This window comes from Homo sapiens, chromosome 7, assembly GCF_000001405.40.
Source record: "Homo sapiens chromosome 7, GRCh38.p14 Primary Assembly".
Classification (NCBI taxonomy): Eukaryota; Metazoa; Chordata; class Mammalia; order Primates; family Hominidae; genus Homo; species Homo sapiens.
Genome location: NC_000007.14, coordinates 32,430,056 through 32,444,427, shown reverse-complemented (window position 1 = coordinate 32,444,427; position 14,372 = coordinate 32,430,056).

Sequence of the window (14,372 nt, the reverse complement as noted above, 5' to 3'; positions counted from 1 at the left end):
GCTCTTTAGTTTCATTAGAGCCCATTTGTCAATTTTTGCTTTTGTTGCAATTGCTTTTGGTGTCTTCATCATGAAATATTTGCCAGTTCCTATATTCAAGATGGTATTTCCTAGATTACCTTCCAGAGTTTTTATAGTTTTAGCTTTTACATTTAAGTCTTTAATCCATCTTGAGTTAATTTTTATAATGGTATAAGGAAGGGAGGGTCCAGTTTCAATCTTCTGCATATGGCTAGCAAGTTATTGCAACACCATTTATTAAATAGAAAGTCCTTTCCCCATTGCTTGTTTTTGTCAGCTTTGTCAAAGATCAGATGGTTGTAGGTGTGCAGCCTTATTTCTGGGCCTCCATGCTGTTCCATTGGTCTATGTGTCTGTTTTTGTACCAGTACCGTACTGTTTGGGTTACCGTAACCCTGCAGTAGTTTGAAGTCAGGTCATGTAATGCCTCCAGCTTTGTTCTTTTTGTTTAGGACAGTCTTTGCTATTAGGGCTCATTTTTGGTTCCATAGGAATTTTTTTTTTTTTTTTTTTTTTTTTTTTTTTTTTTTTTGAGACGGAGTCTCGCTCTGTCGCCCAGGCTGGAGTGCAGTGGCGCAATCTTGGCTCACTGCAAGCTCCACCTCCTGGGTTCATGCCATTCTCCTGCCTCAGCTTCCTGAGAAGCTGGGACTACAGGCACCCACCACCACGCCTGGCAAATTTTTTTGTATTTTAAGTAGAGACAGGGTTTCACTGTGTTAGCCAGGATGGTCTCGATCTCCTGACCTCGTGATCTGCCCACCTCAGCCTCCCAAAGTGCTGGGATTACAGGCATGAGCCACCGCACCCGGCCGGTTCCATATGAATTTTAAAATAGTTTTTCCTCATTTTGTGAAGAATGTCATTGGTAGTTTAGTAGGAATGGTATTAAATCCATAAATTGCTTTGGGCAGTATGGCCATCTTAGTGATATTTATTCTTCCTATCCATGAGCATGGAATGTTTTTCCATTTGTTTGTGTTACTCTGATTTCTTTGAGCAGTGTTTTGTAATTGTCATTGTCATTGTCATTTTATGACCCTGGTTAGCTGTATTCGTAGGTTTTTTATTCTATTGGCTACAGCATTTTCTTAACACACAAGTCATTTAACCTTTCTATGTCCCGGGTTCCACACTGATAGATAATTATATCTACGTTTGATTGCTACTGCGGAAACCGGGTGAAGTGAAAATGCCCAGGTCTCAATTGAGCATTGCTGCTTCTCTTGCATTGACCTCCTGCTCGAGTTATGCAGGTTATATGAGGGTTTAAGGAATTTGGCTCAGGGTGGGGCAAGTTTCTTTTCTTTTTTTTTTTTTTTTTTTTGAGACGGAGTCTCACTCTGTCGCCCAGGCTGGAGTGCAGTGGCATGATCTCGGCGCCTCACTACAAGCTCCGCCTCCTGGGTTCACGCCATTCTTCTGCCTCAGCCTCCTGAGTAGCTGGGACTACAGGCGCCCGCCACCACGCCCGGCTAATTTTTTGTATTTTTAGTAGAGACGGGGTTTCACCGTGTTAGCTAGGATCGTCTTGATTTCCTGACCTCATGATCCGCCGGCCTTGGCCTCCCAAAGTGCTGGGATTACAGGCCTGAGCCACCGCGCCCGGCCGCAAGTTTCTTTTAGTGTTTTGAGTAACAACCTAAAAAGAATGTTCAAGGCCCTAGCTGAGTGAAAACTTTCAGAGGAAAACATGCAGCTGGCTGAGTCACAGAGGGATTAGGCCCCTTGTGTTTTTCAGTCAGAACAGAGAAAAAAGCAGGAAGAACCGAGAGACCCCACAACATGAGATTATGTATGTTAACATTTGTTACCATTTACTAGAGGCCAGCACTTTAGGTAGAGAGTTCAATGGCAAAGTTCTTATTATTCTCACCCATTATACAGATGAAGAGCTGAAGGATAGAGAGGTGAGCTAATGGTCCAGCATCACACAGCTGGTAAATTGTAGAGCTGGACTTTGAATCTAGGTATCTGTCATCAGAATCCCTGCTCTAAACAATAAGCCAAGTGTTGCATTTAACATACTCCCCAGAATATAGGAAGCGCTGGAGAAAGATTACCTTTGACTATAATCATTTATAAATGCACATTAAGTCTGTAGTACCATTAGATGGATTTGTTTAAAATTCCTTGAAGTGCCCCAGGGATGGTAAAATAAGATAATGCAATCTAGCAGATGTTAAGACACTTAACAGTGTTAAAAGGTGGTTTTAGTTTATAAGACAAGTTGTATAGGCGTACCTTGAAGATATTGTACGTTTGATTCCAGGCCACTGCAATAAAATGTATATCACAATAAAGCAAGTCAGTTAAGGTTTTTGGTTTCCCAGGACATTAGGCTGGGTGTGGTGGCTCACATCTGTAATCCCAGCACTTTGGGAGGCCCAAGTAGGCAGATCACCTGAGGTCAGGAGTTCAAGACCAGCCTGGCCAACATAGCGAAACCCAGTCTCTACTAAAAATACAAAAATTAGCCAGGCGTGGTGGTGCATGCCTGTGATCCCAGTTACTTGGGAGGCTAAGGCAGGACAATCGCTTGAACCTGGGAGGTGGAAGTTGCAGTGAGCCGAGATGGTGCCACTACACTCCAGCATGGGCAACAGAATGAGACTCTATCTCAAAAAAAAAAAAAAAAAGTTATGTTTATACTATACCGTAGTCAATTAAGTATGCAATAGCATTATGTTTAAAAAACCCAACATAAACAAATACTTTTTTTAATATAAATATGTCCCACGCAATATTTGGGCTATATTTATACTAAAAAAGTATTTGTTTATCTAAAATTTAAATTTATATGGGCCTTCTGCGTTTTTATTCACTAAATCTGCTTGCCCTTACTTGGGAGTCTGTTCTGTCTTTGCTGAATGAACAGGCTCCTGTCCTTTGGTTTCTCACTAGGTTTGATCAATGAGAGACATCAGCAGGAGAGAAGGGGACAGGAAAAGAAGGAGGTAGGGGTTTATTCTTCTCCGGTCCACTGCAGATTGGCGGTGTTCCTCCTCATCGGCCACAGCTCTGGGGTTGGGTAGCTGCTCCCTCCTTGCCCTTTCAGGCCTAGGATTGGTACCAGTTCCCTGCCCTTACTGACCCTAGGATACTGAACTATCCCTTTTTGTTTTCCCCAAACTCAGTCCACACCTTTGTAGATGAGATTCCTTATTAAATTCTTGTCAAATTGTCCAGTCTGTGGGTGTCATCTGCTTACTGTTGTACCTCAACTGATAAAGGCATGCAATGTTTTACACCTGACATGGTTTGGATCTGTGTCCCCACCCAAATCTCATGTTGAAATATAATCCCCAATGCTGGAAGTGGACCGTGGTGGGAGGTGATTGGATCATGGGGAATGGTTTAGCACCATCCCCTTGGTGCTGTCTTGTGACAGAGTTCTCACAAGGTCTAGTTGTTTAAAAGTGTGTAGCACCCTGCCCCCTTGGCCTTGCTCCTGCCATGTAAGACACCTGCTCCCACTTTGCCTTCTGCTACGAGTACAAGCTCCCTGAGGCCTCCCCAGAAGCAGATGCCACCATGCTTCCTGTACAGCCTGTGGAACCGTGAGCCAATTAAAACTCTTTTCTTTATAAATTATGCAGTCTCAGGTATTTCTTTACAGCACTGTGAGAATGAACTAATGCAATGTGTGAAGACGATACTGTTAATATATCTGTTTTGCAGATGACAATAAAGAGGGTCAAAGAAAGGTTAGGTAGGTTGCCCCAGGTTTTGCTCCTGCTAAATGGTGAGAGTAGGTATCAGACCTAAATCTGTCTATTCCAAAACTCAGTTCATTACTATACTATGCTTTATTAATGAGCTCGAGGAGGCTGGAGCTGCTGGATAGTTTCCAAGAAGCTTCACTGTTTATGCTTTCCTACTGGCATGCAGAGGCACAGACAGATCTGTGAGGCAGACTACATCATGGCCCCAGTTCAGTTTCTTTTTTCTTTTTTTGAGACAGGGTCTTGCTCTGTCACCCAGGCTGGGGTGCAGTGGCACGATCATAGCTCACTTCAGCCTTGACCTCCTAGGCTCAAGTGATCCTCCCACCTCAGCCTCCCATGTAGCTGGGACTACAGGTGTATGCCACCATGCTCAGCTAATTTTTTGATTTTTAGTAGAGACAAGGTCTCAGACTCCTGGCCTCAAGTGATCCTTTCCCCTTGGACTCCCAAAGTGCTGGGATTGTAGTCAGGAACCACCGCCTGGGGTTTTCTTTATTCCTTCTTGCGCTTGGAGCCTACTTCCCTGCCTCTTGACTTGCTTTGGCCAATAGAATGAGGCAGAAGTGATGGGTGCCATCCATAAGGCTTGGTGGACCCAGCAGGACTTGTAAGATCCAGGGAAGAACAGATGAGTGGAATACAGTGGGGAGTGATAGCCAGGGCTTCAGGTAGGAAACTGGGCGTCTGGGTAACCAGATTGAGACAGAGGGGTATAACAATTTCTTATTGGCTAGTACCACTCAATATTCAAGGCCTGATGAACAAGTGTATTTTGTAAAAACAAAAACAAAAAAACACAAACAAACAAACAAACAAAACTGGTTGTGGGAAGCTCATCTTAGTTTAATCTAATTTCTACAAAATTTTTACTTTTCTGATTTGTAAAGGGAAGTAACAGTAAATCGAAGAAAGTCTCTATTATTGTGACTTAAATGTTTAAAAATGTTAAGTAATTTCATGGGTTTATCATTTTGCTGGGTAGGCTTTGAGAGCATTGTCTTAAATGATGACCGCAAGACAGTTCTAAATACCATTTCCTGAATCTAAGGGCCTTGCATCTACTTTGAAGACAGTGAAGGCTATTCTGGAGGGTTATGGGTATATATATATATATATATATATATATATATATATATATATACCCATATATATGAACTCATGTATATATGAGTTCATATATATATATATATATCCATATATATATATATCCATATATATATATTATATATATATATCCATATATATATATATCCATATATATATATATCCATATATATATATATCCATATATATATATATCCATATATATATATATCCATATATATGAACTCATATATATATGAGTTCATTAAGGTCCCACAAGGTCCCACAATAGGCTGTTGGCAAGCTGAGGAGCAAGGAGAGCCAGTCCGAGTCCCAAAACTGAAGAACTTGGAGTCCAATGTTCGAGGGCAGAAAGCATCCAGCATGGGGGAATGATGTAGGCTGGGAGACTAGGCCAGTCTTTCCCTTTTACATTTTTCTGCCTGCTTTATATTCCCTGGCAGCTGATTAGATTTCCCCCACCAGATTAAAGGTGGATCTGCCTTCCCCAGCCCACTGACTCAAATGTTAGTCTCCTTTGGCAACACCCTCACAGACACACCCGGGAGCAACACTTTGCATCCTTCAATCCAATCAAGTTGACACTCAGTATTAACCATCACACCCACCAGGTAGGGCAGTGACCGCGTCATATTCATCCCTTTATTTAAAGTATCTCATGTAGTCTCTAGTATGTAGTTAGTGGTTATATAAATGTTTATGGAACTGAAGTGAATTTTAGTCTTTTGTATTTGAGATGCTAATATTCAAACAGACAATAGCTAGACCATATATACAGTTACCTGCACTAAATACAGGGAGCCAAGTAACAACCCCTGTAGCAATGGCCCTAAGTGCCAAGACTTGATTAATAACTGACAGCTTCCCTATTTTTTGTTCCCTATTTCTAACTTGGGACCAACTGGAAAAAGCCAAATACACTCCCCTAACCAATTGCATAGAATTTTCCACTTACAGTTAGCCTGCCTAGAGCTTTCCATGCCAACAGCTTCAGGGCACACCTGAAGCCTTCCCTTTTGCCACCATATGCTTTCCAACTCCTCTGCCTTTGTGCTGGTGGCTGACTCTTTTGCTATAGCAAGCTCTGAGTAAGTAGCCATTGCTGTTTCTGATTTGGGTGGTTTTCATTTATTTCTGCATGTTTGGAGTAACTGCTTTTCTTAATAAATTGAAATAGAAGGATTTAAATTATTTTAATTAAATGCAACAAACATTTATTGTATGCCCAGTGTATGCCAGGTGCTAGGGTATTTCCTATGTATTTCTGCTATGGTTTTATATGTATTTATATATGGAAAATGATATAAGGTATGTATCGACCTTAATAGTGGTTAATTCATACATGCACACACTTCATATAATGTATAACATTAAAATAATATTTTCCCATATATATGTTTCCTATAATAATATGGATAATTAAAAATGACATCATTAATATTTCTGTTTTCTTTTGGTTTCCTTTAGGATTCTGTTTCCTGTTTCTGACTTAGACTCTGGCTCAAAATTGAGTGGGTGGGGACAAAGCAGAATCATCAGTCCTGAATATGCAGATGTCCTTTGACATCTGAGGGAATTACACACATTAGGTTTTCTTTTCCAGCTTTATTTCCTATGACACGGTAGTGACAATTAAGAGCAATTGAAACACTTATGCTCATAGTCTTTAGACTTCAATCACAGGACCATTGGTGGAAATTCAGCTACAGTAAAACCCATGGGGCCTTCCTGGCAAATTGGTGGCATACTTACCTCTGTCTCCTTACCGCAGTCTTTGGCAGACATCTTTAATCCATCACTGCACTTCTGCCTGAAGGAGGCTCCTAATAACAGTGCTGCAGGCAGCCACTGCCAATCAAATGCAGGGGTATACTCAATGAAACTGATTTGCCATGTCTGCTGTAGAGTTTTGTCTCAGTCTTGATCTAACAAAAGCTCAGATGTTAAAGTTATCACGTGAGGAATGGCTGAAGAAGCTGAGAAGGAAGACTCAACGTGACTTTCAGAATTGGTTTTTTAAATTTAGATCTACATTTTAATTTAGGTTGGGTTCTTTTCTTCTTTGATTTTTGGAAGTGGTTTGATTTAATTTAATTTAACATAGCTGAGGCAAAACTTAGAAAATTAAATAAATAGGAATATATTTGAAATTCTGCATTTAGGTTCAAAGGCCCACGTACCAAATGAAGGAAGCAGATTCCACAAAACTGGGCCTGGGGGTTTGGTAGATGATATTCTTAGGACACATTGACAGAGGTCCAGCATCTGCTAGGTTGTAGGAAGTAGCAGTTCCAAAACATTCTATCCTGATTAGACACACCTGAATTATGATCTTTGGTCTGGGAATCCTATTTTAAGAAAAGCATTAAAATAACAACAACCAGAGAGTATTAAAGGAACATGATAGAGGAAAACAAATAATCTGAACAGTCTGTCATATGGGGAAGATCTGATGAAGATGATAACGGTTGGTTTGAAAAAGAGAAAGCAGATGTGAGCACAATGACTGTCTTCACATATCTGCAATTTTATCACATAGAAAAAGGAACAGACTGATTCTGGAGAATGTTTCTTTTCTCTTCTTTTTCATTTTGCATAATTAGATTTTTAAAAAATTGTGGTAAAATATACATAACATTACGTTTACTATCTTAACCGCTTTTAAGTGCACAGTTCAGTAATGTTAAGTACATTCCCTTTTTTGTGTAACCAATCTCCAGAAGTTTTTCATCTTGCAAGACTAAAATTCTATGCCCATTAAACAACTCTCCACCCCTCTCTCCCCCCAGTCCCTGGCAACCACCATTCTACTTTCTGTTTCTATGACTTTGACTCCTCTAGACATCCTATGTAAGTGAAACGATACCGTATTTGTCTTTTGATGACTGGCTTATTTCACATAGTGTAATGTCTTCAAGTGTCATCTATGTTGTAGCGTGTGTCAGAATTTCCTTTATATATGCCACACTTTGTTTATCCATTCATCCCTCAATGCCCATTTGGGTTGCCCCCACCACTTGGTTATCGTCAATAATGCTGCTATGGACATAGGTGTACAACTATTTCTTTAAGACCCTGCTTTCAATTCTTTTGAATATATACCCAGAAGTGGAATTGCTGAATCATATGGTAATTCTGCTTAATTTTTTTGAGAAAGTGCCATACTGTTTTCTATAGCAGCTGCACCATTTTACATTCCAGCAACAGTGCACAAGGATTCCAATTTCTCCACAATCTAGCCAACACTTGTTATTTTCTGCTTATTTTTTGGATGGCAGCCATCCTAGTAAGTGTGAGATGATATCTCTTTGGGATGAGGAGTGTTTCTTAAATTATAAAGACTCATTCCCCTTTTGGAAAAAAAAATCCAGCCCTTTTAAAATGATATCTGAAATTTCAAAGTAAATGGAATATTTTGTACCAAGAGAAATTAAAACAATGATGTATCTTAGTGTGCTTTTCCCTATCCCACATACTCCTTAAACTTCACCAAGCTTGTCTTCCTCCTTCCCACAACAAATCTTTCCATTAGAAAGCCTAGAGCAGGGGTTGGCACACTGCAGCCCACAGACCAATCTGTTCTAAAAAAGTAAATCTAGAAAACAATTTGTGTAAGAACATCCAAGAAGCTTTTGGAAAATGTTATTAAAACTTATAAATTTAAGATGAATAAATACAGGAATAGGTCAGTAGATAAATGTCCATTTATTTATTTATAATGTTATTTACAACATTACAAATTATAAATTACATAAATATATTAATAAATCATAAGAATGATTTTGATAGTAGCCATCCTATTGAATATGAAGTGATATCTCATTGGGATGGGGAATGTTATGGTTTTTTAATGTATAAATAAATCATAACAATGATTTATGTACATATATTTTACATTTATAAATATTATATAAATTACATATTAAAATATATGCATATATAAATTGTATATAAAATTATAAATAATTAAGATCATAAAAGTATATTAATTTTGTAAAACATGAATGTATTGGACTGGATATATATAATTGGACTGACTGGTTATATATAATTGGACTGGTATATATGATTAGAACATACTATTCTAAAAAGTAGGCCAGGCGTAGTGGCTCACGCCTGTAATCCCAGCACTTTTGGAGGCTGAGGTGGGCGGATCACGAGGTCAAGAGATTGAGACCATCCTGGCCAACATGGTGAAACCTCGTCTCTACTAAAAATACAAAAATTAGCTGGGTGTGGTGGCACATGCCTGTAGTCCCAGCTACTCAGGAGGCTGAGGCAGGAGAATCGCTTGAACCCAGGAGGCAGAGGTTGCAGTGAGCTGAGAGTGTGGCACTTCACTCCAGCCTGGTGACAGAGTGAGACTCTGTCTCAAAAAAAAAAAGTAATAGAAATCATATCTTGGATATTATCCTATGTAATATAACTAGAATTCAGCATATACTTCATTTCTCTTAGCAAGGGGGAAATAAAGGATATGTCAACATTATGGGTGGCTTAAATTTTATGCTTTGTGCTTTTTTGCAGTTTCTAAATTTTCTCCCATGAATGTGTAAATGAGTATCACTTCAATAGTCAGAAATGATTATATTATAAAAGGTAATGAATTTCCATTACTGAGGCATTGATTAGGAGCTGTATGTTTAATTTGCTTGTGTTTTTTCTTTTTGGAGGTGGGGTCTTGCTGTTGCACAGGCTGTAGTGTAGGGGCTATGAATGCATGTGATCATAGCACACTGCAGCCTCAAACTCCTGTGCTTAAGTGATCCTCTTGCCTCAGCCTCTCAAGTAGCTGGGACTACAGGTGTGTGCCACCATGCCCATTGAATTTTACATTTTTTTTTCAGAGACCTATAGAAGGAGGTCCTTTCTACACTGGATGGTAAGTTGGAATTGATGGCCCAAAGATCCAACTCAAATATTTTTTATTTTTTTTGTTTATAGAGTTGGAACATTAGTTGGAGTCAGAAGACCTGGGAGCGGCTCACACCTGTAATCCCAGCACTTTGGGAGGCTGAGGCAGGTGGATCATGAGGTCAGGAGTTCAAGACCAGCTTGGCCAACATAGTGAAAACCCGTCTCTACTAAAAATACAAAAATTAGCCGGGCATAGTGGCCCGTGCCTGTAGTCCCAGCTGCTCAGGAGGCTGAGGCAGGGGAATCATTTGAACCTGGGAGGTGGAGGTTGCAGTGAGCCGAGATCTCACCACTGCACTCCAGCCTGGAGAGCGAGACTCTGCCTCAAAAAAAAAAAAAAAAAAAAAAAAAAAAAAACAACAAAAAACAAAACAAAACAAAACAAAAAAAACCTTGGAGCTAGACCTGTGTCTATCCCTATTCTCCACTTAGGTTTGCAATCCATTTTAGCTTTTAAGCCTTGTTTTGTTTGAATGTAGAATGAGAGTGAATAATACCTTTAACCTTTCTAATTACAAGGATACTGCAAAGACAAATGAAACAACAAAGCATCCAGCAGAAAAACATCCTGTTTTTTTTTGTTTTGTTTTTGTTTTTTTCTTTTTTAAATACAGACAGAGTCTTGCTCTGTCGCCCAGGCTGGAGTGCAGTGGCGTGATCTCGGCTCACTGCCAACCTCTGCCGCCTGGGTTCAAGCGATTCTCTTGCCTCAGCCTCCCGAGTAGCTAGGACTACAAGTGCGCGCCAACACGTCCCGCTGATTTTTTTGTATTTTTAGTAGAGACGGGGTTTACACCATGTTGGCCAGGCTGTTCTCAAACTCCTGACCTCAGGTGATCCACCCACCTTGGCTTCCCAAAGTACTGGGATTACCGGTGTGAGCCACTGTGCCCGGCTGTTTTTAAGAGCAATACTTGTGATATTTATTTTTGTACTGCACCCAGAGGCTTAGCAACGATGTTACAGTTCCAGAGCTCTACATCCCAACCATTCTCCAGCTCTCAGATTTCCCTGGAGCAGATCACCCTCTGATCTTTCAGGCTGAATGACGCATATTTTTTCTTTTATTTGCCAATGCCTGTGTTACAGCTCAAGCTCCCAGCATTATGGTATAGTCCCATAGTCCTGACTGGTCAGAAGCCATGTGGAGACTATAGCCATAACAAGCTGTAGGTGCTCAATCAATGTTAAATGGATCCAGCTGAGTTGCTTCTTTGCTCCTGTGTGTTCTGACTTCACTTGAAATCCTTTGATTACCTTGGTTGGGGATCTTCTTGGGAGCCCTCTGAACTTTCTTGGAAATTGTCTAGACTAACTCAGCAGAGAGCAGTTCTAATAAGGCTGACAACAAGACAGAGCTGTGAAGCTGGTGAAAAGTGGTAGCTGTGGTTGTGCTGGAATGAGATGGAGCCTGGGGTGGAAGATTTGGGCTCTTTTCTGAGCTCTTCTGTCATTAGCATGTTGGTTGACCCTAGTTTCCCCAACCTGACCAGGCAGGAGCTGGACTCTGGGATCTTTAAAATTTTGTGGGGAGCTATTGTCTGTGTTGAACCTATGATTCCAAGTTAATGACCTAGGTTTCAGTCTGGCCTCTGTAGGGTCTTTGGGAAATCATTTTGTATCTTTGAACCTCAAGAATTACATGAAATCAAGTATGTGTAATATCCAGGGCTATGTCTAGTGTCTGGTAGGTTCTCATAGTATTCTTGTCTGCCTTCCTCCCCTTTAGTCAAACAGGGATAAATTAATCTTCAACAAAACGTTAACTGAGACTTACAGTGCCCTCTCATAGGGTCACTTATATTCTTAGAGGAAACTCTTAAAGATGGTGTCAAAATAAATCCAGACTTAGCAAGGACAGCCTTTATTCAAAAGGATTACTGTTGGTGGGGTGTGTCTGTGGGGGTGAGAAATGAGAATGGGGAGGGACTGTTGCAACAGGGAGAATTACTGACCATAAGATTTGCGATTGTCTCAGGAGTTAGGCGAATAAGAGTTTTCTTTTATAAAGAGGAATAAACAAGGCTAGAAAGAATTGTGGTGTGGGGAAGTGGGATGAAAGAGTGACATGACCAGATAGTACATCAGAGAACATTTTACCCTGAGGTCAGCCTGTTCTCTGGAGGGGCTGTCTGCTGGTTGAGGCTGAGAGTGGGTCAAAGTTCAGAGGCTTGTGGGAAGGAGAGAAGTTTAACCAAGTTAATTTCTTTTACTTTTTTTTTTGAGATAGTCTTGCTCTGTCACCCAGGCTGGAGTGCGGTGGTGTGATCTCGGCTCACCGCAGCCTCCACCCCCTGGGTTCAAGCAATTCTCCTGCCTTAGCCTCCCGAGTAGCTGGGACTACGGGTGTGCACCACCACGCCCGGCTAATTTTTGTATTTTTAGTAGAAAGGGGTTTCACTTTCTACTAAAGTTGGCCAGGCTGGTCTCGAACTCCTGACCTCAAGTAATCCATCCGCCTCATCCTCCCAAAGTGCTGGGATTACAGGTGGGAGCCACCACGTCCAGCCAAGTTTGGTTAACTTCTTATTTTGTCCTATTGATCAGTGAGGATGAAACAGTTCAGCTAATCATTTATGAAGCAAAAAATGGGAATTTGGAAGGTGTCTAGCCTTGCCATAGATAAGCAAGGATGCATCTGTGAGTCTTTTCTCAGTCATATGGGGAAGGGTGGTTTTTTGTGCTAAACCATTTTCCACAACACAAAAGGATGTTTGTGCCCTCTCCCTCATTCATATGTTGAAATATTAATCCCCAAAGTAATGGTATTTGGAGGTAGGACCGGGTTAGAGCCCCCATGACGGGATTAGTGCTCTTTTAAAAAGAGAAGAAGACATGGGGGTCTCTTTTCCTATGTGCACACGCCAGGGAAAGGCCGTGTGAAGATGTAATCAGGAAGAGGTCCCTCACCAGAACCCAGCCATGCTGGCACCCTGATCTCAGACCTCCAGCCTCCAGAACTGTGAGAAATAAATGTTTGTTGTTTAAGCCACCCAGTCTCTGGTATTTTTGCTATAGCAGCCTGAATTGATTAAAACAGTAGGGGATGTCTTGACCTTCCCTGTTTTCCAGAAGCACAGGGCTTAGGTAAAATTCAACATTGTCAGTGGTTAAAACTTCAGGATCCGAAGACATAAATCCCAATTGGTGACTTTCAGGTTCTGGTAGGATGTTGGCAGGTAGGTCAGATCTTTCCAATGCTCCTCAGTGCAGATTCTGCTGAGCACCTGTTGGTGGGCCTCTGGAAGGAACTCTGGCAGGTTCTTGGTGGACGAGGCCAGAGGCCTGAGAGAGGAAAGGAAACGGCCATGAGAATAAGATCACCTGCAGCTGGCATGTTCACTAACAGCCTCCTCTAACCAAGTTCCAGCTGACCATACACAGCCTTTTGTTTTAAAATGCAAGTGGAAAAAAAAGATGAGGAAGATTGTTTCAGTTTTCCATGCTTATCCCTTCTCATTGAAAGGAGAATTGGGAGAACCTCATCAACAACCAAACAACATCAACAACCAAACTCTTAGCTGAGCTGAACCTCCCTTCCTAAGGAGGGGAGTATGTCTCTCTCTCTCTCTCTATCTCTCTGTCTCTGTGTGTGTGTGTGCACGCATGCATATATGTGCCAAGGGAGCAGGCTTTTCCTAAACATAGGGATAGGAAATGATAGGAAATGGGAGAAGACCTTATCCCCAGAGTCACAAAGCCCTTCCAGAGCATCCCTCCTTATGGAAGAACTGGGTTGTGGGGTGCAGCTTGCTCAGGAAGGGAGACAAAGGGAGACATAAATGACCATAGTCTTTTTTTCTATTTTGAACGCCCCACCTCTTACAGAGTAAGGGCTCAGTGAAGAGCTGAATATAAAACCTGAGTCTGCAACTTACTATCACGGTGACCTTGGGCAGTCATTTGACTCTGGATGATGAATTTACTTCCTTATCTGGAAAAATGTAGAAAACTTATCTTAAAGGGTCATTAGGCAAAGTGCAGGCCATGTAGCAGGTACTTAACAGATGGATAATAATAAGAAGGGAAGGGAAAGGGGAAAGACACTGACATTCACTGAGCTCTTACTTTGTAAGGGATGGGACATTCAAAATAGATAAGAAGAATATGGCCTCGGCTTCAACCAATCAGATAATGGCCATGGTATTCAGGTCCCTTGTTCCACCAGACATCAATCCCTTAATTGCCAGATATGAGATGGGTGTATGTGTGTTTGTGTGTGTGTCCATCCTGGGGAAAGGCCTGGGTTAGCCAGGGTGGTAGGTGGGTTTAGGGCAGCAGCTATTTACCATCCCATACAGAAGTATTATATTTATGCATTTTCACAACCAGTACAGCCAAGTGGAATATATCACTTAGGGTAGTCCAGAACATTTACTTCCTTCCATGCCCACCTTTGCATTATTGCTAATGATGCCCATGTCTGGTTTGTAGGAAATTCAAGTCATGGTGCAAGAAGAGGAAATGCCTGCCCAGGGAGCTTTCTTTCTAATAGAGTATTTGCCCAGAGTGAGGATTTATACCAGGGCCTATTAGTTCATCAGGTGAGCAAGAAAAGAATAAAAAGTGATTTTAAAAGTTACAAGGAACATAGCCATACAA